The 26472-nt window shown below is 36.5% G+C and overlaps 1 long non-coding RNA gene across 3 annotated transcripts in view; it reads left to right on the top strand.

Moving 5' to 3' along the window:
• Nucleotides 1-26472, top strand: part of LINC00973 (long intergenic non-protein coding RNA 973) — an 84276-nt gene that overhangs the window by 20383 nt on the left and 37421 nt on the right. For 2 of the 3 annotated variants that reach the window (NR_186667.1, NR_186666.1), the window contains exon 1: nucleotides 18407-18562. The exons of the other annotated variant lie outside the window; for it this stretch is intronic. This is a non-coding gene — a long non-coding RNA (long intergenic non-protein coding RNA 973). Of the gene's footprint in view, nucleotides 1-18406; nucleotides 18563-26472 lie in introns of those variants that run through there. 3 annotated transcript variants of the gene reach the window in all.

Genomic DNA, 26472 nt, shown 5'->3' on the forward strand with positions numbered 1-26472 from the left:
GAAAGATCTATCAGGCAAACTGAAAACAAAATAGAGCAGGCATTGCTATTCTTATATCAGATAAAACAGGCTTTAAGCCAACAATGATCAAAAAGGACAAAGAAGAATATTGCAAAAATATAAAGGGTTCAATACAACAAGAAGATTTTACTAGCCTAAATATATACACACCCAATATTAGAGCAATCAGATTTATAAAACAAGTTCTTAGAGATCTACAAAAGGATTTAGACAAACACACAATAATAGTGGGGAATTTCAATACCCCACTGACAGCGTCAGACAGATCATTGAGGCAGAAAACTAACAAAGATATTTGGAACTTAAACTCAACATTGACCAGTTGGACCTGGACATTTACAGAACACTCCACCCAACAACAACAGAATATACATTCTTCTTACCTGCACATGGCACATACTTTAAGATTGACCATATGGTCAGCCATAAAGCAAGTATCAACAAATTAAAAAAAAACACTGAAATCATACCAACTACAGTCTTGGATCACAGCTGAATAAAAATAGAGATCAATACTAAGAAGATCTATTAAAACTATACAATTATTTGGAAGTTAAACAACCTGCTCCTAAATGACTTTTGGGTAAAGAACAAAATTGAGGAAGAAATCAAAACATTTTTGGAAACTAATGAAAATAGACACAATATATCAGACTATTTGGGACACAGATAACACTGTGTTAAGAAGAAAGTTTATAGCTCTAAACATCTACATTAAGAAGTTACAAAGATCTCAAATAAACAACCTGGTATTGCACCTACCAATTTCAGGAACAAGAAAAACAAGAACAAACCAACCCCAAAGCAAGCAGAATATAAGAAATAACAAAAATCAGAGCTGAACTCAATAAAATTGAAATGCAAAAATTTATATAAAAGATCAATAAACCCAAAAGTTGGTTCTTCTAAACATTAAACACGATCGATAGATGGCTAGTTCGATTAATGAAGACAAAAAGAGAGAACACACTCAGAAAAGACAAAAGTGACCATAAAAACAAACCTGCAGAAACACAAAAATATCCTCAGAGACTATTATGAAAACCTCCATGCATACAAACTAGAAAACTTAGAAGAAATAAACTATTGGAAACACACAACCTCCCAAGATTGAACCAGAAAGAAATTAAAATGCTGAACAGGCTGATAACAAGTTCCAAAACTGAATGAGTTATAAAAAGCCTACCAACCAAAAAAAAAAAAGCCCTGGACCAGACAGATTCACAGCTGAATTTTACCTGAGATACAAAAGGAGAGCAGTTAACAATTCTGCTGAAACTATTCCAAAACATCGAGGAAGAGGAGGGACTCCTACCTAACACTTTCTATGATGCTAAAATCATCCTGCTACCAAATCCAGCAAAGACACAATGATAAAAGAAAACTTCAGGCCAATATCCCTGATGAACATAGAAGTAAAAATCCTCAACAAAATACTAGCAAACTGAATCCAGCAGCACATCAAAAAGTTAATTCACTACTATTATGTAGGCTTTAATCCTGGGATGTAAGATTGATTCAACATATGCAAATCAATAAATGTGATGCACCACATAAACAGAACTAAAAACAAAAACCACATGATCATATCACTGGATGCAGAAAAAGCATTTGATAAAATTCAACATCCTTCATGTTAATAACTCTCGGCAAATTGGGCATTGAAGAAATATACCTCAAAGTGGTAAGAGCAGTCTATGACAAACTCACAGCCAACATCACTGAATGGGTGAAATCTGGAAGCATTCTCCCTTGAGAACTGGAACAAAACAAGGATGCCCGCTCTCACCACTCCTGTTCAATATAGCACTGAAAGTCCTAGCAGGAGCAATCAGGCAAGAGAAAGAAAGAAAAGGCATCCAAATACGAAGTGAGGAAGTCAAACTATCACTGATGATAAGATTCTATGCCAAAAACCCCATAGACTTTACCAGAAGGATCCTAGATATGATAAAGAACTTTAGTAAAGTTTCAGGATACAAAAGTCAGTATACAAAAATTAGTAGCATTTCTATATACTAATAACATCCACATTGAGATCCTAATCAAGAATGCAATTCCATTCACAATAGCCACAAAAAGGAGAAAATACCTCAGAATACCTCTAACCAAGGAGGTGAAAAGTCTCTACAACAAGAATTACAAAATGATGCTGACAGAAATCAGGAAATACACAAATGGAAAAACATTCCATGCTCATGGAGAGGAAAAAATCAATATTGTTAAAATGGCCATACTGTCCAAAGCAATTTATAGATTCAGTGCTACTCCCATCAAACTACCAAAACCATTTTAACAGAATTAGAAAAAACTAAAATTCACATGGAACCAAAAAAGAGCCTGAATCACCAAAGCAATCCTAAGCAGAACAAAGCCAAAGACATCACATTATCCAACTTTAAAGTATACTACAGGGCTACAGTAACCAAACTAGCATGGTAGTGGTACAATAACAGACACATAGACCAATTGAACAGGATAGAAAACTCAAATATTAATAAATCCATACACTAAAAACCACATGATCTCTGACAAAGTTAACAACAAATAATGGGGAAAGGACTCCCTATTTAATGAATAGTGCTGGGATAACTGGGTTAACCATATGTATAAGATTGAAACTAGACCTCTTCCTTTCACTATTTACAAAAAGTAACTCAAGATGGAATAAATACTTAAATGTAAAACCTAAAACAATAAAAACTCTAAAAGAAAATCTAGTAAATACCATTCTGGACATCAACCTTGGCAAATAATTTATGATTAAGTCCCCAAAAGCAATTGCAACAAAAACAAAAATTGACAAGTGGGGCCTGATTAAACTAAAGAGCATCTGCACACTAAAAAAAAAAAAAAAAAAAAACTACCAACAGAGTAAATGACCAACAAAATGGGAGAAAATATTCACAAACTATGCATCTAACAAAGGTCTAATATCTAATATAAAGTACTTAAGCAATTCAAGAAACAAAAATGAAATAACTTTATTAAAAATGGGCAAAGAACATGAACAGACACTTCTCAAGACATACATATAATCAATAAATATATGAAAAATGCTAATCATCACTAATTATTAGAGGAATGCAAATCAAAACCACAATGAGACACCATCTTATACCATTTAGAACAGCTATTATCAAAAAGTCATACAACAGATGCTGGCCAGGTTGCAGAAAAATGGGAACACTTATACACTGCTGGTGAGAATATAAATTCGTTCAGCCACTATGGAAATCACTTAGGCAGTTTCTCAAAGAACTGAAAACAGAATTACTGTTTGACCCAGCCATCCCACTACTGGCTATATACCCAAAGGAAAATAAATCATTCTACCAAAAAGACACTTGCACTCATATGTTCATCACAGCACTATTCACAATAGCAAAGACATGGAATCAACTAAGATGCCCATCAATGGTAGACTGGATAAAGAAAATGTGGTACATATATACCACGAAATACTACACAGCCATAAAAAAGAACAAAATCATGTCCTTTGCAGCAACACATATGCAGCTGGAGGCCGTTACGCTAAGTGAACTAACACAGGAACAGAAAACCAAATACTACATGTTTTCACTTATAAGTGAGAGCTAAACATTGAATACATATGAATACAAAGATGTGAATAATAGACACTAGGGACTGCTCGAGAGGGGAAGGTGGGTTGGGGGCACAGGTTGGAAGGCTACCTATCGAGTACTATGCTCACTACTTGGGTGACAAGATCATTTATACACCAAGCTTCAGTAACACGCAATTTACCCATACGACAAACAAACCTGCACGTGTACCCCTGGAACAAGAGGAACAAGAATAAGAAGAACAGGAAGGAGAATGAGAAGGAGAAGAGAAAGAGAAGAAGAGGAGCATTAATTCTAAAAGAAAATATTGATAAATTGGATTCCAAACAATTAAAAACTTCTGCTTTGTGAAAGACACCATTAAGAGAATGAAAAGACAAGATACAATCTGGAAGAAAATATTTGCAAATTACATATCTAACATCCAATAATACTCCAAACTCAACAATAAGAAAACAACTCAATTTAAAAATTAACAAAATATGTGAACAGATATTTTAACAAAGATATATAGATGACAAATAACCACAAGAAAAATGTCAGTATCACTAGCCATTAGGATAATCCAAATTAAATCCACAATGGAATCCAGCTACACATATATTAGAAAGACCGCTATTTTTAAAAAACAATAAACAATTTCAAGTGCTGACAAGGATGCAGAACAATTAGAACTTTCATACACATTGCTCAGAATGTCAAATGGCACAGCCACTTTGAAAGAGAGTTTTGCAGTTTCTTAAGAAGTTAAATATATGTTTACTATATGACCTAGGAATCTCACTCCTAGGGATGAGAGAAATGAAAACTTATGTTTATGCAAACACATATGAAAGTAAAAGCTTACATTTACACAAAAAACCTGTACCTCAATGTTTATAGCAGTTGTATTCACAATCACTCCAAATTGGGAAATAACCCAGATGCCTTTAAACAGGTGAATAGATTAACTGAGCTACATCAATACAATGGAATACTACTCAACATAAAAAGGAATGAACTATTGCTGTAACAACATGATGAATCTCAAAGCCATGCTGAGTGAAAATGCCAGTTATAAAATATAACACATTTATGAGTTTACTCATATCACATTCTAGAAAAAGCAAACTATATGGATATAAACACATGAGTGATTGCCAGGATCTAGGGAATGGCATATGGTTTGACTATGAAAGAGAAAGTACAGAGGTTTTTGGTGTGATGGAACTGTTCTGTATCCTGACTGTGGTCCCAATGATGGTCACAAATCTACACATGTGTTAAAACCTATACAACTCCACCTAAAAAGATCAATTTTTCTGTATATAAATTTTAAAATAATTTTTAAATCTTAAAAAATCATTGCAAGTATAAAATTATCACATAAAAATATGGAAGATCTAGTATAAGTTTCTGTAGAAATGTAGATGAAGTTCAGGTTGGTTCCTGTAATTTAGAGATTCTTTACTATAGCCAGTTTTCATATCCATAAATCATTCAAATATAATTTAGAGGTCCTAGAACTAATGCAAATTACCTTGACTTTGGGAAATTCATTAATTTTCTTCAGATTCAGCATCTTCATTTTAAAAATAAGCCATTTTCCTGGTTTACTATTAAAATTACTTTCAGCTCTAATACTATATGACTTCTATGCTCATATAATCTTCGGGCTCAAGCTGTAACTTTCTCTGAGAAAGAGTTTCATAGGATCTCATAAGTAGAAGGTGATTTAACCCAATTCCCTGCAAAATACATAAATCCTTATACACATTCCTGATAGGATGCTGACAGATATAATTGGCCAGATGTGTTTGAGTGATCATGGTCACATCTAAACAAATGGCTACTCTTGGGTTAATCATTACAGATAATAAATGTATATTTAATAGAAATAATTACATTAATATTTAACTTTTGTCATTTTATAGCAATGTATATTCCCACCAATAGTAGTAAGAGCAAAACCTATGGTCTTAAAATCACCATGGTATGCATCCATGTTCATAGCAGCGTTATTCACAATAGCCAAAGAGTGGAAGCAACCTAAGTGTCCATTGACAAATAGATAAACAAAATGTGTTATATACATAAAATGGAATATTACTCAGCCTTAAAAAGGAAGAAAATTCTAATACATGCTATAACATGGATAAACCCAGAGACATTATGCTAAATGAAATAGCCAGAAAAAAGAAAAAATATTGTGTGATTTTACTCATATGAGTTATCTATAGTAGTCAAATTCATAGAGACAGAACAAAGAATAGTGGTTGCCAGGAAGAAGAGGGAGGGGAAATGCAGAGTTGTTGTTTAATGAGCATAGAGTTTTAGTATTACAAAATGATAAAAGTTCTGGAGATTGGTTGCACAACAATGTGAATGTACTTAACACTACTCTACACTTATAAAATGTATTATCTAACCATTTTCGTGTATTTTACCACAACTAAAAACCACTATGGTAAATATTATAGTAATATGTATCTGTGATGGTTAATTTTATGTGTCAACTTGACGGCCAAAGAGTGCTCAGATATTTGGTTAAATCTTACTCTGAGTCTGTCTCTCTTTAAGGCTGTCTGTGGATGAGATTAACATTTGACTCCATGGACTGAATAAAGGAGATGGTCCTCCCCAATGTGGGTGGACCTTATCCAGTCCATTGAAGGCCTGAAAGAACAAAAGACTGAGAAAAAAAGAATTAATTCTCTCCTCCTCCCTGTCTTTGTGCTGGGACATCATAGGTCTTCTCCTGCCTGTACACTTGGACTTGGACTGGAATTTACATCATGGACTCCCTGGGTTCTGAAGTCTTTGGATTGTGGATATTGAGACTTCTCAGCTTCCCTAACTGCATGAGTGAATTATTTATAATAATTATTAAATAATTAATAAGTATCTTCTATTGGTTCTGTTTCTCTGGAGAGCCTTGACTAATAGTATATCTATTTGTTTTCTTTTTTTAAAGGATAACTTCCTTAAAGTGTTGGGGTCATGTTTTGAAGTGTTTGATGCATATTGTCAAGTGTCCGTAGAAACACTATAGCAATTTACATTCCTACAGCAATGTTAAAAAAGAAAGTGCCCGTTTTCTCACACTTTGGCCAGGACTGGGTATTATCATTTGTGGTTGAATTTCAGTAGCCGTTTTTCCCCCTCTTCTTTCCTTAGCTGGACACAAGGCGGCTTGCAATAAAGATTTCTTCTTTGCATCTCTTGTAGCTAGATGTGGCAATATAACCAAGCTTTAGCAATCAGATCTACAAAGAAGTGATCTGTGCAGTTTCTGGAATGTTTTCTCTAAGTGAATGACATGTCCTCTTTCCTCCATATTTGTCTCTGCTACTCAAAATGTAAATGTATCTGATGATCCAACAGCCATTTTGGACCATGGTTTCCACAGAGAGAAAGGACCTAAGTCCATGACACCTGAACCTGTACTATGAACTTTGAACTCTCTGTCCCTAGAATACTGACAGAGAAATATATTTCTAACTTGTTTAATCTACTTGCAGCTAAATTTAGTCTTACTTATACATTATTCTTTTTAGTCTTTATAGTATTGGTGAAAAATAAAATTTTATTTTTGTTACACATAGCTCTCTTGTCATCTGTTTGGAAGTTATAATTTTTGGAGCGTTACTCCTGCTTTTAGCTAAGCAAAGAAGAAAACACATGAAGAGATTTTCCTTCTTTTTATATCTGAGGTGACATATTGCTAGGGTTCTTCTAAATATGAAAGAGTAAATTTGTTAATACCACATTTCTCTTTAATTCAGAGATTGAAAGATAAGGTTGCTCAGATCAACAGATATTTATTGACCTATTCTATTCAATTGATACTTGAATGTCTAGATTTTAATCGAAATGAATTTCAGAGTTAGAGGATTTTAATAATGATAAAAAAAATCAAGGTGTGTCAGATCTTGCTGATTCCTTCAATAAAATAGAAGCAACTGAAATTAGAAACTGGATCTAATATTTCTAGTGAATTTAAGCCTTTTACTTTTTCAGGTGGGGGTAAGGAAGAAGCATAGCGAAACTATGAAATCTCAGTTGTTTTTTTTTTTTTTTTTTTTTTTTTTTTTGAGACGGAGTCTCGCTCTGTCGCCTAGGCTGGAGTGCAGTGGCGCTATCTTGGTTCACTGCAGGCTCCGCTTCCCGGGTTCACGCCATTCTCCTGCCTCAGCCTCCCGAGTAGCTAGGACTACAGGCGCCCGCCACCATGCCCGGCTAATTTTTTGTATTTTTAGTAGAGACGGGGTTTCACTGTGTTAGCCAGGATGGTCTCGATCTCCTGACCTTGTGATCCGCCCGCCTTGGCCTCCCAAAGTGCTGGGATTACAGGCGTGAGCCACTTTCAAACTTTAGTGTGCGTCATAAACATATGAAGAGCTTTTGTTAAAAACAAAGATTGCTGGTTCCCATGTGTCCAGATTTGTTTGGTCACGTTCTCTTCGGACAGACAGAGTGGAAGAATAAACAGTTCTGGTGTACAGCCGGCTCGTTATTTCAGGTGTAGCACTGCCATTTTGTGATAACTCTGCCAAGTCAAGGTTCTAGGCAAAATACTCGAAAGGAAACAGAAATGGCAAGAAGGAGAGTGCACTGCACTTCTTTAAAGTCACCGCTTAGCCTTCTTTTAGGCCCTTGGACTGATTTTCACTAAACAGACTAGTTTCTTTAAATTTAAACTTTTGCTTATTCCCATGGTAGAGGCATCACATAAGACCCAGTCTCTACTTTGGTGCACCAGGCACCTCTCTCCTTTCAGCATTAGAAGGTGAAGCCACATGCCCTCATCTAAATCCCTGAGAGTTCATAATGCAAGTATGTCACAGTGTTCTTGGAGAAAACCTCTATTACAGATATTCTTCTTGGCTACATTTCAGCAACATGAGAATTGCTTTAACTGCTATTCCTGATTCCACCAAACTCCTCACCTGTCTTTATAATAAAATAACTTTGAATTTTAATATATGTGATTAAAAACAAATTTTCAGCTACAGGATCAGTTTATGCATGAAGTTTCATAACTGTTCCGTTTCCTTTCAAGAAGGTATGGCGTATTGTTAATATTTAACTTGGTGTTTATCCATTCTGGTGTTTTATCCTTAATTATCAAGTTGTCTTATTGGTTGTCATTTCTATGAAGTAGAGCTTTTTCCAGATAAAACACATCTGAGTGGAATGTTTTCATCTTCCCATCTCAAACTCTGCAGCTAGGATAATAGCAAAAGGATAGATGAGATATAATCCCAATTTATAGAAGCAATATACCATATGAGTTGGAGATCTTAAATATCCTGTGTAAAAGATAAGGACATAAATTAGGAAGGAGTTTAAAAATTATTTGATTTAGCCACTTTGTTTTACAGATTTTTAAAAAGTCTGAGATTCAGAGAGGTTAGATGACTTGCTCAAGGTCACACAACTAAGCTAGTGACTGAGCTGGTAATAGAAATAGGCCTCCTGGAGCTTTGTAAAGTCAATATTAAGTAAAATGAACTAAATCCTAGCATTTCCAAATGTCTGCAGAGTATTACAATTCCTTTAGGCCTATTTGATGGGAGTTTAACAAAATTTGTAATTCAGACATATTTTGGAAAGGAAAATATTACACTGCAGGAATTAGGTACTGATGTACTTCCAAGCACTTCATTAAAATGTTTGATTTAAATCAAGAAAAACTGATTATTAGTGATGTATTCCTGCTGATTTATGAGAAGCTGTAAGTAAGTAATATAGGGTGAAGGGATGATGATAAAGACACAGGTGAGATAAGTGGCCGACCTGGAATGCAAATATATGTGGTGGTCTATGTGAATATGTTTGGAAAAAGCTTTTTTTTTTTTTTTAAATAACTTTCTCAACATTAAACATTCTCAGGGTCTCAGTGTCTGCGTTTATTGTTCAGACTTTTATTTTTCTTCATTCTATATTGTTTCCACTGTGGTCTTATGACGCATAGGACAAATACTAGCATGATGATTATGATATATTTTCATGACAAATTAGTGTTCTTTCAATTGAATATAATTAATAATAATGAATGCATTTTATTTTATTTTTTTTGAGACATAGTCTCAATGTGTTGCCCAGTCTGGATTACAGTGGTGCAATCTCCGCTCACTGCAACCTTTGCCTTCCAGGTTCAAGTGATTCTCCTGCCTTACCCTCCTGAGTAGCTGGGACTACAGGTTCAAGTGATTCTCCTGCCTCAGCCTCCTGAGTAGCTGGGAATACAGGCATGCGCCACCATGCCCGGCTAATTTTTGTATTTTTAGTAAAGATGCCGTTTCACCATGTTGGCCAGGCTGGTCTTGAACTCCTGATCTCAAGTGATCCACTCACTTTGGCCTCCGAAAGTGCTGGGATTACAGGCATGAGCCACCATGCCTAACAATGAACGCATTTTTAAAAACATTTAAAATATTAATTCTTATTTTTTGAGTGGAGTTACAGAGAATACTCAGGTTGCTAAAACATTGGCTAAAAATTTGGCTTTAAGTAACTAGTTTTTATCTTGACAAGTTTGTGGTTATTCTACTATGTGGCTGAATGAACTCAGGGCAAAAGCAACTAGTCAGTTATGCCAAATTCATTAAATTCAGTTGGCCAACATGCTAGTTTGATTAGATAAAAGCACAATCAAATCAGATGGCAAGAATGAGAAATATTGGTGCTTGATCTGCTCAATGTTTTATTTGTAAGTTTGAACACAACACTGAGAGGGGAACCTCCAAGAGAATGCCAGAAAACCATCTTCTCTGCTCTCATCTTATCTCTTTGCTTGGCTCCATTTGTCTCTGTGCTTTGGAACCATGTGGGTGAGGAAAATTCACTTCCTTCCCTGTCTGTGACTAAGAAAAGAATCAAGCTCATTATCCTTAGTCTGCTCCAAAATTGTGAATCAGATTAGACTATGAAAAATAGCGATAACAGCTATGACTGTTCCAGAAAAGGAATTATATTAAAGCTCATATGTTGTCTTTTTATGTTTGATTCTTTGCCTAGAGAGAAATGATTAATAACTATAAGATCTAACATGTGTTTTATGTTTACTATATATAAGTACTGCTTAATACTACCTAATAGTATACATCACTTATTATTAATGTTTCCATTTTACAGATAAAGTAATAAAGACAGTGAGGTTAAGCTACTTGCTTAAGAATTAAGCAGCTCATAATTGGGCAGAGCTGGATTTAAATGCAAATCTTAATCATTCTGCTCTTCTTCCTCTTAATTAGAGCTCGGTTTAGAAATATTCAAAAAGAAAGCAATCTGTGTGACTCAAAACAAATTACTCATGGCAATTAAAAGCCCATGCAAAATGAGAAATTTAACAGATGCCTTGAGATATTAATCCATCTGGTTGTTTGGAAACAAGAATTGTAATTATAGCTTCCATAAACAACCACCTCAGGCTATCTGAGAAATACATAGATAGAAAACATTTTATGAGATAACCTAGTATATTCTTTGTCTTCAACCCATGTGATGACTAGAATGACAATCTTGAAAGTCATTTGAATTATTGGGATCTTTTTTCAATAAGTATTTATTTGTTAATATTATAAACAGTTTAAATAATTTGAAGATATAGTTCTTATCTTCATGAAATATACTGTTAGGAAAACTAAAATTCCCATTATACATTAGATAAACATGTATAATCACATAATTATATTTTGTTAATTACTGCAATGAGTAATACACACAGCAAACCCTTGCAATCTCCAAACTTTTCTAGGTGTATTTAAATAGGGGTAGAACAACATGGAACAGGCATTAGAAGTTTCATGAAGGAGGTGAGCTTGAGCTAGGAATAAAATGCTGGGTAAAATTTAAGAGGGTGGCGAAGCCAGCATACAAAGTGGGAGGTAGGACCAGGTGGATATGTTCTAAGAGACAGTGAAAAGACCACTGTGGCTAGGACAAAGGAGTTGTAAGAAGTAGCTGAGTGGGTAAAGTTAGGTCATAGGCTTAGGAGTTTGTACTACATTTTATAGTGGTATGGAATTATGAGAAGTTTTAATGAGATGTTGATATAGTTTGAGCATGTGTCCCCACCAAATCTCATGTCAAATTGTAATCCCTAGTGTTGGAGATAGGGCCTGGTGGGAGGTAGCTGGATCGTGGGGGTGGTTTTCTCATGAACGGTTTATCACCATCCCTGTTGGTACTGTTCTTACAACAGTGAGTGAGTTCTCATTAAATTTGGCCATTTAAAAGTGTGTAGCACCTCTCTGCTCTCTCTCTTGCTTCTGCTCCTGCTATGTGAGACACCTGCTCCCTCTTTGCCTTACACCATGATTGGAAGCTTCCTGAGGCCTCCCCAAAAGCAGGAGCTGCTATGGTTCTTGTATAGCCTGCAGAACCATGAGCCAATTAAACCTCTTTTCTTTATAAATTACCCAGTTATTTCTTTATAGCAGTGTGAGAACAGATTAATGCAGATGTTAAAGTGTTTTAGGATGGCAGTAGCAAAGTGATGGAGAATGGACTGGAAAAGGACAATCTCAATTTAGGAGAATGCCTAAGAGTCTGGTGTATAAACCCTGGTATGGAGCAGGAGGTATGAAATAGGATGGATTCTTCTGCCTCCTAACAGGAAGTCAGTTAAGCTAACTAATGCCAGTGCTCTTCCCTGGGGTGGTTGGAATAAGATGGAGCCAGAACAAATGTATCTCAAGAAATAAGAGTTCCAGAGCTCAAAATAAAAAAGTCAAATCCATTCTCAGGTTATAAGGACAAGAAGGAGGCTGAAGAAGGATTGGATTCCTTTGATTAAAGGATTCCTTTGATTAAAGGAATCCAAGTAAAGGCAAGATTTGACCAAGAGTTTAGGAGATAGTATGGGAATGAAGTGAGAAGGTTGTAGGAAGGACCACAGTTTTCCTATAATAAGGGCTAGATTATGTAAAGCTCTTTCTAAGGGATGCCAGTCCCATGGTTTATCAGTTAGTTATTCTGAGCACAGGATGCTTCTGGATTCAGTTAGCTAGTATTTTGTTGAGGATTTTTGAATCTGTGTTCATCAGGGTATCGTTCTGTAGTTTTCCTTTTTTTGTTATGTCGCTTCCTGGTTTTAGTATTAGGGTGATACTGGCTTCATAGAATGATTTAGGGAGGATGGCCTCTTTCTGTATCTTTTAGAATAGTTACAGTAAGATTCATACCAATTCTTCTTTGAATGTCTGATAGAATTCAGCTGTGAATCCATCTGGTCCTGGGCATTTTTTGTTGTTGTTCTTGGCAACTTTTTAATTTCTGTTTCAATCTCACTACTTGTTATTGGTCTGTTCAGAGTTTCTATTTTTCCTGATTTAATCTAGGAGGGTAGTATATTTCCAGAAATTAATCCAACTCCTCAAGGTTTTCACGTTTGTATGTGTGAAGGTATTCATAGTAGCCTTGAATTATCTTTTGTATTTCTGTGGTATCAGTTGTAGTATCTCGAATTTCATTTCTAATTGAGCTTATTTGGATCCTCTCTCATCTTTTCTTGGTTAATCTTGCTAACAGTCTATCAATTTTGTTTATCTTTTCAAAGAACAGTTTTTGATAATTTATCTTTTGTATTTTTTTGTTCAATTCTTTCAATTTTATTTAGTTCTATTATGATCTTTATTTGTTTTATTCTGCTGGGTTTGGGTTTGATTTGTTCTTTTTCCTCTAGTTCCATGAGGTGTGACCTTAGATTGTCTATTTGTGTACTTTTGACTTTTTGATGTAGGTGTTTAATATTGTGACCTTTCCTCTGACTACTGCACTTCCTGTATCCTAGAGATTTTGATAGGTTGTGTAACTATTATAGTTCAGTTACAAGAATTTTAAAATTTCCATCTTGATTTCATTGTTGACCCAGTGATCATTCAGGAGAATGTTATTTAATTTCCATGTATTTGCATGGTTTTGAGGGTTCCTTTTGGAGTTGATTTCCAATTCTATTCCCCTGTGGTCTGAGAGAGTAGTTGATAAAATTTCAATTTTTTTTTTTTTTTTTTGAGACAGAGTCTCACTCTGTCGCCCAGGCTGGAGTGCAGTAGCATGATCTTGGCTCACTGCAACCTCTGCTGCCTGGGTTCAAATGATTCTCCTGCCTCAGCCTCCAGATTAGCTGGGATTATAGGCGCCTGCCACCATGCCAGTCTAATTTTTGTATTTTTAGTAGAGATGCTTTCACCATCTTGGTCAGGCTGGTCTTGATCTCCTGACCTCGTGATCTACCCGCTTCAGCCTCCCAGAGTGCTGGGATTACAGGTGTGAGCCACCATGCCTGGCCTTTCCTTAAGTTTATTGTGACTCATTTTCTGGCTTATCATATGATCTATCTTGGAGAATGTTCCATGTGTTGATGAATAGAATGTATATTCTGCTGTTGTTGGGTAGAATGTTCTGTAAATATCTGTTAAGTCCATTTGTTCTAGGGTGTAGTTTAAATCCATTGTTTCTTTGTTTACTTTCTGTCTTGATGAGCTGGCTAGCACTGTCAGTGGAGTATAGTGGATTATTGAAATTTCCTACTGTTATTGTGTTGCTGTCTATCTCATTTCTTAGGTCTAGTAGTAATTGTTTTATAAATTTAGAAGTTCCAGTGTTAGGGGTGTATATATTTAGGATTGTGATATTTTCCTATAGGACAAGTCCTTATATAATGTCCCTCTTTGTCTTTTTTTTTTTTTTTTTTACTGTTGTTATTTATTTATTTAATTTTTTGAGATGGAGTTTTGTTCTTGTTGCCCAGTCTGGAGTGCAATGGTGCGATCTCGGCTCACTGCAACCTCTGCCTCCTGGGTTAAAGAGATTCTCCTGCCATCAGCCTCCCAAGTAGCTGGGATTACAGGCATGTCTGGCTAATTTTGTATTTTTAGTAAAGACAGGGTTCCACTATGTTGATCAGGCTGGTCTCAAACTCCTGACCTCAGGTGATCCACCTGTCTTGGCCTCCCAAAGTGCTGAGATTACAGGCATGAGCCACTGTGCGTAGCCACTGTTGTTACTTTAAAGTCTGTTTTGTCTGATATAAGAATAGCTACTCCTGCTTGCTTTTGGTTTCCATTTGCATGGAATATCTTTTTTCACCCCTTTACCTTAAGTTTATGTGAGTTCTGATGTGTTAGGTGAGTCTCTTGAAGACAGCAGATACTTGGTTGGTAAATTTTTACCCATTCTGCCATCTGTATCTTTTAATTGGAGCATTTAGGCCATTTACATTCAGCATTAGTATTAACGTAAGTTACTGTTCTATTCATCATGCTAGCCATTGCCTTAATACTTTTTTTTCATTTTATAGGCCCTGTGAGATTTATGCTTTAAGGAGGTTCTATTTTGATGTATTTCAAGGTTTTGTTTTAAGATTTAGAGCTCCTTTTATCATTTCCCATAAGGCTGACTTGGTAGTGCCAAATTCTCTCAGCATTTGTTTGTCTGAAAAAATACTTTGTCTTTCTTCCATTTATGAAGTTTAGTTTTGCTGTATACAAAATTTTTGGCTAACAATTTATTTGTTTCAGGAGGCTGAAGATAGGACCTCAATTCCTTCTGGCTTGTAGGGTTTGTGCTGAAAAATCTGCTGTTAACCTGATAGGTTTTGTTAGTAGGTTACCTGATGCTTTTGTCTCACAGCTCTGAAGATTCTTTCCTTCATCTTGACTTTAGATAACCCAATGACTATGTGCCTAGGTGATGATATTTTTGCAAAGAATTTTCCAGTTGTTCTTTGAGCTTCTTGTATTTGGATATCTAGATCTCCAGCAAGGCCAGGGAAATTTTTCTCAATTTTTTCCCTCAAATAAGCTTTCCAAACTTTTGGATTTCTCTTCTTCCTCAGGAAAATCAGTTATTCTTAGTTTTGGCCATTTAACGTAATTCCAAATTTCTTGGAGGCTTTGTTCATTTTTTTAATTCTTTTTCTTTGTCTTTGTCTGATTGGATTAATTCAAAACCCTTGTCTTCCATTTATGCAGCCAACAAACATATGAAAAAAGCTCATCATAACTGGTCATTAGAGAAATGCAAATTAAAACCACAACGAGATACCATCTCACGCCAGTTAGAATGACAATCATTAACAAGTCAGGAAACAACAGATGCTGGAGAGGAAGTGGAGAAATAGGAACACTTTTACCCTGTTGGTGGGAGTGTAAATTAGGTCAACCATTGTGGAAGACAGTATGGCAATTCCTCAAGGATCTAGAATTAGAAATACCATTTGATCCAGCAATCCCATTACTGGGTATATACCCAAAGGATTATAAATCATTCTACTATAAAGACACATGCACATGTATGTTTATTGCAGCATTATTCATAATAGCAAAGACTTGGAACCAACTCAAATGCCCGTCAATGATAGACTGGATAAAGAAAATGTGGCACATATACACCATGAAATATTATGCAGCCATAAAAAATGAGTTCTTGTTCTTTGCAGGGACATGGATGAAGCTGGAAACCATCATTTTCAGCAAATTAACACAGGAACAGAAAACCAAACACCATATGTTCTCACTCATAAGTGGGAGTTGAACAATGAGAACACATGAACACAGGGAGGGGAACATCACATACCAGGGCCTGTCGGGGGGTCGGGGGTAGGGAGAGGGATAGCATTAGGAGATACTATGTAGATGATGGGTTGATGGGTGCAGCAAACCACCATGGCACATGTATACCTATGTAACAAACCTGCATGTTCTGCACATGTATCCTAGCACTTAAAGTATAATAATAATAATAAAAGCCTTGTCTTCAAACTCTGAACTTCTTTCCACTTGTTCTAGTCTATTGTTGAAACTTTCCAATGGATTTTGTATTTTTCTAAGTGTGTGTTTCATTTCCAGAAGTTATTATTTTTTCTTAAAGATATCTACTTTTCTGGAGAATTTTTCATCCATAACCTGTAATTTTAAAAATTTCTTTAAGTTGCTTTTCACCTTTCTCTGGTATCACCTTGAGTAGATTAATAATCAACCTTCTGAATACTTGGCAATTCAGATATTTGTTCTTGGTTTGAATTCACTGCTGGGGAGCCAGTGTGATCTTTTGGGAGTGTTATAGAATGCTGTTTTGTCATATTACCAGAATTTCTTTTCTAGTTCCTTCTCATTTGGGTAGACTATTTCAGTGGAAAGGTCTGGAACTCAAGGCCTACTGTTCAGTTTCTTTTGTCCCATGGGGTGATCCCTCAGTGTGGTACGCTCCCCCTTTCCCTAGAGATGGGGCTTCCTGAGAGCTGGACTGCAGTGATTGTTAATGCTCTTCTGGGTCTAGCCACCCAGTGGAGCTACCAGGATCCGAGCTGGTGCTAGGGAATGTCTGCAAAGAGTCCTTTGACGTGATCCATCTTCAGGTCTCCCAGCTGTGTAAACTAGTACCTGCTCTGATGGAGGTAGCAGGGGAGTGAAGCAGACTCTGTGAGAATCCTTGGTTGTATATATGTTTAGTGTGCTGGCTCTCTCAAATTCTGGTTATGCTAGCATTGAAGTTGTCACATTGACAGACGCAGGACCTCTGGTTAGCCAGGATGCTGGAGTCAGTGGTATTACCTGTTTTCTCCTTCCTGGGAGCAAGGTTACTCTGTAATGAGTTGCTGTAGTGGCTTGAGTTGATTTGCCTCCAGCCAGGAGTTGGTGCTTTCAAGAGAGCACCAGCTGCAGTAGTAGTAGAGTGATATAAGCTTGCCCTAAGTTGGCCAGGGTAAGTAGTCTCAGGTGATGAGTGAGGCCATAAGCTTCGAAGAGTTTATGTCTTTTGTGTTCAGCTATTAGGGTGAGTAGAGAAATACCATCAGGTGGGGCAGGGTTAGGTGGGTCTGAGCTCAGAGTCTCCTTGCGCAGGGCTTGCTGCAGCCACTGTTGCAGATGGGAGGGTGTTTCTCAGGCCAATGGGGTTATGTTCCAGAAGGGATCATGGCTGCCTCTGCTGTGCCATATAGTTTTCCAGGGAAGTTGGGGATAGCTGGTAGTGAAAGGCCTTACCCAGCTCCCACACAGTTGGCAAGGCTTGTTTCACTCCCACAGTGTCCTGCTAATAGCATCAAGTTTATATCCAGGCAGCCTGCCCCAGGCAGTAAGCTTCCCCGCTGAGAAAGCAAGCATGGCTTTCAGGCCTCACTGCTCCCCATCTGCCCACAATGTTGGTGGTGGCTCTTCTGCTCATATCTGTAGCAGTTCTGATCCACTCCTCAGATTCTGCTCAAGAAAGTTTGTGCCCAGTTGAAATTATTTCAAAGTTCAGTTAGAAGCTTCTTTCACCCTGTGACCCTTCCCTTATTCTGCTGGATGCCTTCCCTGAGGGCCCCTGTGAGATATCATCAGGGGGCTTCCCTGGGCCAAGCTGGAGACTGGGAGTGTCTACAAGGCTCCTCCCACTGTGCTTCTACTTTTATATTTTATGCAGCTCTCTAGATCTGTTTCAGCTCTAGGTAAGGTTAAATCCTTCTCCCATGATCTGGATTTTCAGATTCCCCGGTGACGATACATGTTTGGAGGCAGCTTCACTACTCTCAGACTTTGGGATCTTATAGTTTTTTGTCTGTTTTGCAGAATTTGCTGTGGTGTGCCACTTCTTTCAAGGATTTGTGAATTTTTTCAGTTTTCCTGGTGTAATGGTTAATACTGAATGTCAACTTGATTGGATTGAGGGATACAAAGTATTAATCCTGGGTGTGTCTGTGTGAGTGTTGCCAAAAGAGATTAACATTTGAGTCAGTGGGCTGGAGGAAGGCAGATCCACCCTTAATCTGGTGGGTACAATCTAATCAGCTTTCAGTGAATATAATGCAGGCAGAAAAAAATGAAAAGGACAGACGGATCTAGCCTCCCAGCCTACATCTTTCTCCTGTGCTGGATGCTTCCTACCCTTGAACATCAGACTCCAAGTTCTTCAGTTTTGGGACTCGGACTGGCTCTCCTTGCTCTTCAGCTTGCAGACAGCCTATTGTGGGACCTTGTGATTGTGTAAGTTAATATATAATAAACACCCCTTTACATGTGTAACTTACATTCTATCTATCTATCTATCAATCATCTATCTATCTCCTATTAGTTTTGTCCTTCTAAGAGAACCCTGACTAATATACCTGGAATGTTTCTGAGGTGGTTCTTAAAGCAAAATTTCACGTGTGAGTCTCCACAAGCTGTTCTATCCACCCAAGTGGGAGCTACACATTAGCCCTGTCTCCTATCCACCATCTTCTTACCCCTCAGAAAATTTTTCCTTCAAATCTGAATATTGACCGTGTGCAGAGAAGGACAGGGATAGTCTGCTATTAGATTTTTTCAGTCTACCATGAGGAAATGAATGAGCATAAAAACTAAGATGATAAAACAAAGAGATCCATAAAGGATCAGAATATTTTCTTTAGCAACACTTGGTTAAGCTTTTTAATCAAATCTCCACCAAGGAAGTGGCATTAACATCAGGACCAAGGAAACACATTCAATATTATTTTTAGTTTGTAACATATGTATTTATGTTTATAAATTAATAAAATTATAATCTTAGTATTCTTTTAACACTTTGAGAGATGTGAGATTATGAGCTAAAGCTATTGGATTGTTAACAGGCTTTACTTCAGCAAGTTGAGCAGCCCCTGGCTCATTTGCATCTCGGTTTTTTTCTCATTAATTTGAGCACAAGGAATATTTTAAAAAACATTTTAGAGGCAATCACAGAAACATAATCTAAAATCAAATCATATTTTTTTCTCTATGTAAAAAAGACCAAAACAATATAAATACATCCTAACCAGTCTGTTTTCTCTGGAGGATAAATTTTCTGCTTACAAAATAGCCATACATTCCATCTTGTTCTTATTATAGTTTAAGTCATTTAATGAACTGTGAAAAGAATGTTACATGCCAGTATACCCTGTCCTCATACTAAACAGCTTTGGAGCACACTGCAGTAAATGTCAGTTTGTCATTCCTTGTTTAAAGGCTGATTCTTGTGGTTCCTTTGAGGTATCCAACTACACTTTAATGCCATTAAGTCATTATTTGTGTCCTCTTTTAGAACTGTTGAGTACCTTCAAATGTACATCGGTTTTCAGCATAAACCCTCATATGTTGTAAATTTATAGAATTATATATTTTAAATAAAAATATGAAATTAAATTTATGAATTGTCTGCTCAGTGTGCAAAGCAGCATGACACATTTCAGTTGTGCTGATTTCACTGACCAACTTGTTAGTAAGGTGTGAAGCTGGTGTAAGAATTTTCTAAAATCAAAACAAAACCTCCTGATCTGGATGTGCCTTTCTTGATGGATTAGCTATTTAGGGGAATGGCTCCAAGAAAGCCAGATGGGTAACATGCATGTCCAAGATGACAGAAGTATGTGAATCATTTCTACAAAAGTGGAGCCCGCCCCACTAGTCTTGCAAACATTCAGGGCTGATTTTATATGGGATGAATGAAAACACTTGTGCCTTGCTGGCCCAGAGTGAGAGCTGCAAGTTACAATGCAACATTTGCCACTACAAAGTTTCTTTGTTAGAAATTCTTATTTATTGAACAATTTATCTACACACCCAGAATTGTGTTGGACTCCTGGGGGTGAGTCATATATAGTGATTAGTCAAGATGAGATCTCATAGGAAGTGTCTGTAGACCATTTGGATTTATAGGAATGAGAAAAAATGACCTAGGCGAAAAATTAGTGGAGAATCAAGGAATAGGCAAGGGAGGGTGTCTGCTGGTGAATGAGAGACCCACAGGAGATATTTGGTCTTCTTGTCTTTGTGCTTTTTAAAATCGGTAGAGGGAAATTACTAGTTGCCTCCAACATAAATTCAACCTCTATGAGGAAAATATATTAAGCTGGAAAATCAGTTATTCCCCACCTCCAACAAGACTGAGTGAATTAGTTGGCATCAATAGTGCACACACTTGTCCAGGAGTAAATTTTTGAACTTGTGTGCATCCATCTTGTTTTAATAACTAAAATGAGGGAATGAGTGCCTGAAATACAAACATTATCAACTTAAATTATAGACAAAAAGAAAAAGGAATGTTGAAACACTTCTATATAAATCAGAATCAATGGCACTTTTTCCAATGATTATTTTTTCTAAAATCTTTTAAATTACAAATGTAAATGTTCTGGAAATCACACTGCATTGCCCATCTTTCTTTACTGACTACCTAGAAATGCAAAAGTTTGGAGTTTATGAAAATTCTGTTTTTGATCTAATATCATGTGATGATTTCTCAGAGGGAAATATGATTCTATATTTTTTAAAATAAAAAAGTTAATAAACCCTTTGAAAATTGATCAATGATCAGCAGTTAACTCTGGAAGAGAGACATCCCTTAATGGATCTACAGAACACTGAATAAATAATATATCCTGCAGTGGAAATATTACAATAAAATAGTTCCATATGAAGCATAATTTCATTGTTCAAGAAAATCAGAAAGAAATGGCCTTATGGGGGAGATCAAGGTGTGGCAGATAGCTTTTAATTAATGCAACAAATTTTAATAATATACCTCATTTATAAAGTGTTTTCTATGTAGCAAACATGGTGCTAATATTTCACATGCTGTGTACCAGGCACTGTGCAAAATGCTTCTCATTTTATTATCACAGTGATACTATGAGGTAGGTGCAGTTATTACTATGCCCATTTTGTAGGTGAGTAAACTGAGATTATAAAAGTTTGAGTTACTTACCCAAGGTCATATAGTAATTATTTACAACTATACCTGACTAGCTCCAAAGCATGTGCATAATGCAATGTTATAGAAATTGGAGCAATAAAATCCCTCATTTATAAAAGCAAACAAATATTTAAAGAACATTTATTCAAACTAAGCAAAGCCTTGATTCCATTTCAAGGCTGCTTACAACAAGACTGCTCAACATCATTATTTTTGGGAATCGCATTCCACACAGAATATAGTTATTTATAAGAATTATGGGCGGGGCGCAGTCGCTCATGCCTGTAATGCCAGCACTTTGGGAGGCTGAGGTGGGTGGATCATGAGGTCAGGAGGTAGAGACCATCCTGGCCAACATCGTGAAACCCCGTCTCTACTAAAAATACAAAAATTAGCTGGATGTGGTGGTGCTCGCATGCAGTCCCAGCTACTCAGGAGGCTGAGGCAGGAGAATCGCTTGAACCCAGGAGGCTGAGGTTGCAGTGAGCCGAGATCGGGCCAAGGCACTGCAGCCTGGTGACAGAGGGAGACTCCATCTTAAAGAAACAAACAAACAAAAAAGAATTATGGCTGGGTACAGTGGCTCACACCTGTAATCCCAACACTTTGGGAGGCCAAGATAGGAGGACTGCTTGAGCCCAGAAGTTTGGGAGGAACCTGTGCAAAATAGGGAGACCCCATCTCTACAAAAAATTGAAAAAAAAATTAGCCAAACATGGTGGCTTGCACCTGCAGTCCCAGCTACTTGGGAGGCTGAGGTGGGAGGATTGCTTGATCCGGGAGAATTGCTTTAGCCCAGTACGTGGGGGCTGCAGTGAGCTGTGATCGCACCACTGCACTCCAGCCTGGGTGGCAAACACAAATAAAATAATGTATTGTGCCTCTTTCCTTCTTCCCTTCTTTCTTTTTCTCTTCTTCACACTCATGTTATCATCCTCATCAACAATAAACATTCTTGAGTTCAAGAGTCATTTAGGTGAATATTTTTCTAAAGTTTGAATTCTCCTTACAATGTTCCCATCTAGTGATTATTTCCCATAAAGGAAAATTTCTCCCTGTTGGTTCTGTCACTTCCATTTTTGAACTATTCTGACAATGAGAATGCGTTTCTTATTAATTAATTTTTATATATACTAGTTGACCTTATTGATTGGAAAAAATGTTGTTTCAAAGTAGGAATTATTTTAAATTTAGCTGGACACCACACAAGGACCTAAATGGAACACAGATACCAGATTGGAACAGTTTAGTGAATACCATCATTGCAACAGGAAACAAGTCATATAAAAACGTAGCATAACTTGGAAACAAATTATAGAAGTTAAGCTGCCAGAAGTCAAACAAGCAGTAAATAGCTTAACCTCTCTGAGCCTTCAATTTCTTCATCTGTAAAATCATGAAAAAAATTAATCTAGCAATTAGAGGGCTAATTTGATAAACTAGGAGGTATTATTGGGAACAATCAGATAATATTAAATTAATTATGAAAAGTTGACAAACAGTATGTGTACTCATATTATTTTGCACAAGTAAATTAAAATAAGTTTATAGAAAAAGTTCTGGAAAAACCCACAGTACACCAGAGTGGGTAACACTGATGTCTTTGGTCAGGCGGAGTGCATGGCTCACCCCTACACTAAACAAATATTTATTATGTTTATACAATATGGCTCTTTTGATATGAATGTTCCAACTTTCCACATTAAAGACAGTTCAAAGCAGAAATACTTTTTGAAAGTCAATTAAAAGTAAAACATGCTTTTATTTTGTCTACTCTTGCCAAATTCTGAAAAAGCAGACGAAAATGAGTAAGAGGGCAAACTCATCAAAATTTACAATGAACAAGATGTCAAATACTGAAAATATTCATTTTTTTGGTTAAATAATTACTAAGATTAAATTATAATGTTGACCAACTTGCTTTTACTTATATTGTTTGCAAAATACTATTTGTAGTCAAAGTATGTAAGTTTCTTGTCAAAAGTTGCCTAGTGTTATGTCTTTGAAAGACCTTTTGACCTAAAAGTTTGGAAAGCAAAAATGCTTTTGCTTAGACTCCTTGGAAGAGATAATCATTGTAACTTTGGGAAATATAACAGCCTCCTTAGGGTTGATATCTGGGATCCTTCCCATCAGAGGGATGTTGCACAAAATATGAAGAAGCATTTCATGTTGTTCACATAAATGTTGGGAAGGCTTTTTCTTGATACAATTTGTATCATGCAGAGCCTTCTCTCTCCGTAGGTAAAGAGTGGGGCTCAGGTAAGGGATACTATATAGTGCTACATAGACCTACTCCTTTAGTAGCCTTTGGCTTGAGGGCTGTTTTGCCAGAAGACCTTCCATACTCAATGACATCAATTGTGGGGTGTTTTAAAGACAGTTGTATTAGCTTGCCAGTTAATTTTATTTTGTTAGACGTTTGTTTTTATTTTTATTTTGAAATTTCCAATTTGATCATTTACATTGACAAGATTAACAGTTACTGCCTATAGAATAACTGTTTACTAGCATAATAGATGTAAAAACCAGGCATTTGATGAACCAGTGGTATTGGGAACATTCAGATAAAATCAAGAAAAAAAAAGAGATTTTATTGAGAAGAGACAGGTCTTCTCAGAGGATCAATTGACATTAGGACCATGTAATGAAACTAGAGAACATGAAGTTGTGGTAGAGAGAGAAGTGTATGGGGTGTCAGAATTCCTGAGTTTGAGGCTAGTCTGTCACAATTGTGACCTCAGACAACTCATTTAACTTCCTTGCCCACAAGTTTTCTTATTTCTTAAGTATGGATAATAATAACAGATGGATTCCCTACCCATGGTAGGGTTGACTCTAATAAGATACTTTTCTCCCAGGTGATTGAAGGGAATGCTAGAGGTTGGAGATGTAAGCTAAGTTTATGGAAATGGCTAAGAGACTCTTAAATCTGTGTATCTAATATTCAGTTGTAATTGTTTTTAGCATTGCTGTCACCTTAACCCATTGGTACACTGTGCAATATGCACAAAGGCATTGTGTGAGTGGGGTTAATTTTGTGAAAATCTGACAGATACTATGTCTGAGTTATCTGGTTTGGAATAGGGACAGCATATATAAAACCTCAAGGTGGTCCATAATTTAAAATGGAACGAGGAGCTGGGACCAGATGTAACTGAAAAGCCAGCCACCCCACTCCCCATGCTGCCACTGATAAAAGTGACATTTGTTTCCTTTGTCTCCCCCGTAAGATCTTTATTAGCAGAGACCTTGGCATTTTTTGCACTTCCTGCTTTGTCAATAAAGTATGAAACACATAATATAATTGGCCATTTTCATGGATAAAAACAATTCAGGTATACAACGTGACAGAGGTTCAGTTTGATTTTACATATTTGTCCCAACCTCTATCACTAGAGATAAATCTCAAGTATGCAATTAAAGATTTGTTCACAATTAATATTTCTTGTCACTTGTTGGTACAAACTAATAGGATAGCTATGAGCAACTGAATAAAAATATAGTTGAGATAATACAGTGAATGATGGTTTAGGTGGTTTATTCGGGCAGAAAAACTCTTACTTTGAGAAAAATCCAGATGGGTGTTTTTGTTTAACATTAATTCACATAGTGCTTAATATTGTTTGATATAATTGTTTACTACTTTGATACCATCTAGGCTTCGGTTACTTTTTTTTTTTTGACAGGGGCTTTTGGATGTTGTTTTGCTGAATTTCTCTAAGCAGCGGTTTATAAGAAAAGCTATAAGACTAATGAATATAAACTTCTTCCAGTGATGTGAGCAGATAGAAACTGTGGGAAAGAGACCTATAAAGAATGCAGTGCTGGTTAAATTGAGCCCAGGCTCTCCTCCACCCCCAATACTTATGGCTACAAGAATTCAAGGGACACATAAATGTATTGAAGCAATTCGGCCTAGAATTCTACAATATGCTCAATAAATATTTGTCATCTGCTATATAAAAAGCATATTATTGGGCACTGAGTTTAAAAGCAAATATGAGCAAAATATGGTCCTGTAAATAACCCAGACTCAAAATTATAATCTAGACTCAAAATTTAGTTTATAATGTAGGTATTAAATTAATAATATCATGAACTGCCCTAAGAGAAGCTCAAATAATGAGCTACAAGATTCAGAGGAGGACATGCCATTTCCGGTGGCTTGATCTGGGGACATGAGATTTTAGTTGTGCCTTGAGGTTGGATTGGATTTAATAGCTGAACACAGAAAGGAAGAGAAAGTGGGGGAGAATCTCAATAGAGTGAATGACACTTATTTGCATCTAAAATCTCTCATTGATTTGCTTTTGACCATCACTGTTACTGTATTCATCAATACCCTAGTTACTTCTTACCTGTTCTATGGCAACTGCCTCCTTAACAAGTCTCATCGTCTTGCCTCTTCTGATTTATCCTTGGAAATATATTGCCACATATGTTATTCTACTACTAAAACACATTCAGTAGCTTCTCATTGTATTGATCAAGTCCATTTACAAGGCCCTTCATAACCTGGCCCAATTCTACCAGTGGTGATTTTGTACCCCAGAGAACATTAACAGTGCAACATCTGGAGACATTTTCAGTTGTCACAGCTCAGGGGAGGGTGCTCCCTGCATCCAACAGGAGAGGTCAGGGATGCTGTTAAATATTCTATAAAGCACAGAATAGCCTCCCCTCACAACAAGGAATTATCTGGCCCAAATGTCAATAGTGCTTAGGTTAAGAAACCTTCGTTTATATAGCAATTCAATTGTGTAATTATAACAACAAATACAACAGATTTTGGCAGATACCACTGACTCTTAACAAACATAAAATTTAACTAGTGGCTATATAATCCCATGGGTAAGCAGGAAAATAATCTTTTAGCTATAAGCATTTAGCATGTTCTACATGTTAGCCAATATATTTATACAGGCATGTAGTGCCTGTTTAACCTTGAGTGTTGTTTTAGTGGGTGTTAATTGAGGCAGCTTTTACTAAAGTTGTATTTTCCTGAACAAACTACCTATCTTTCTATTGTTGGACGTTTGCATATCCCTTTGCTGTTCTCCCACCTGGCAAACTTATGCTTATCTTTCAAGCCTCAGCTTAAATATCACATTCAAGCAGAAACTTGCCCCCACTGTTTATGCAATCATTTGGCCTAACCATTTCTTAATACCTCACTTACAATATACTTCACAGAGAATTG

The sequence above is a fragment of the Homo sapiens genome, chromosome 3 (assembly GCF_000001405.40).
Source record: "Homo sapiens chromosome 3, GRCh38.p14 Primary Assembly".
Lineage (NCBI taxonomy): Eukaryota > Metazoa > Chordata > Mammalia > Primates > Hominidae > Homo > Homo sapiens.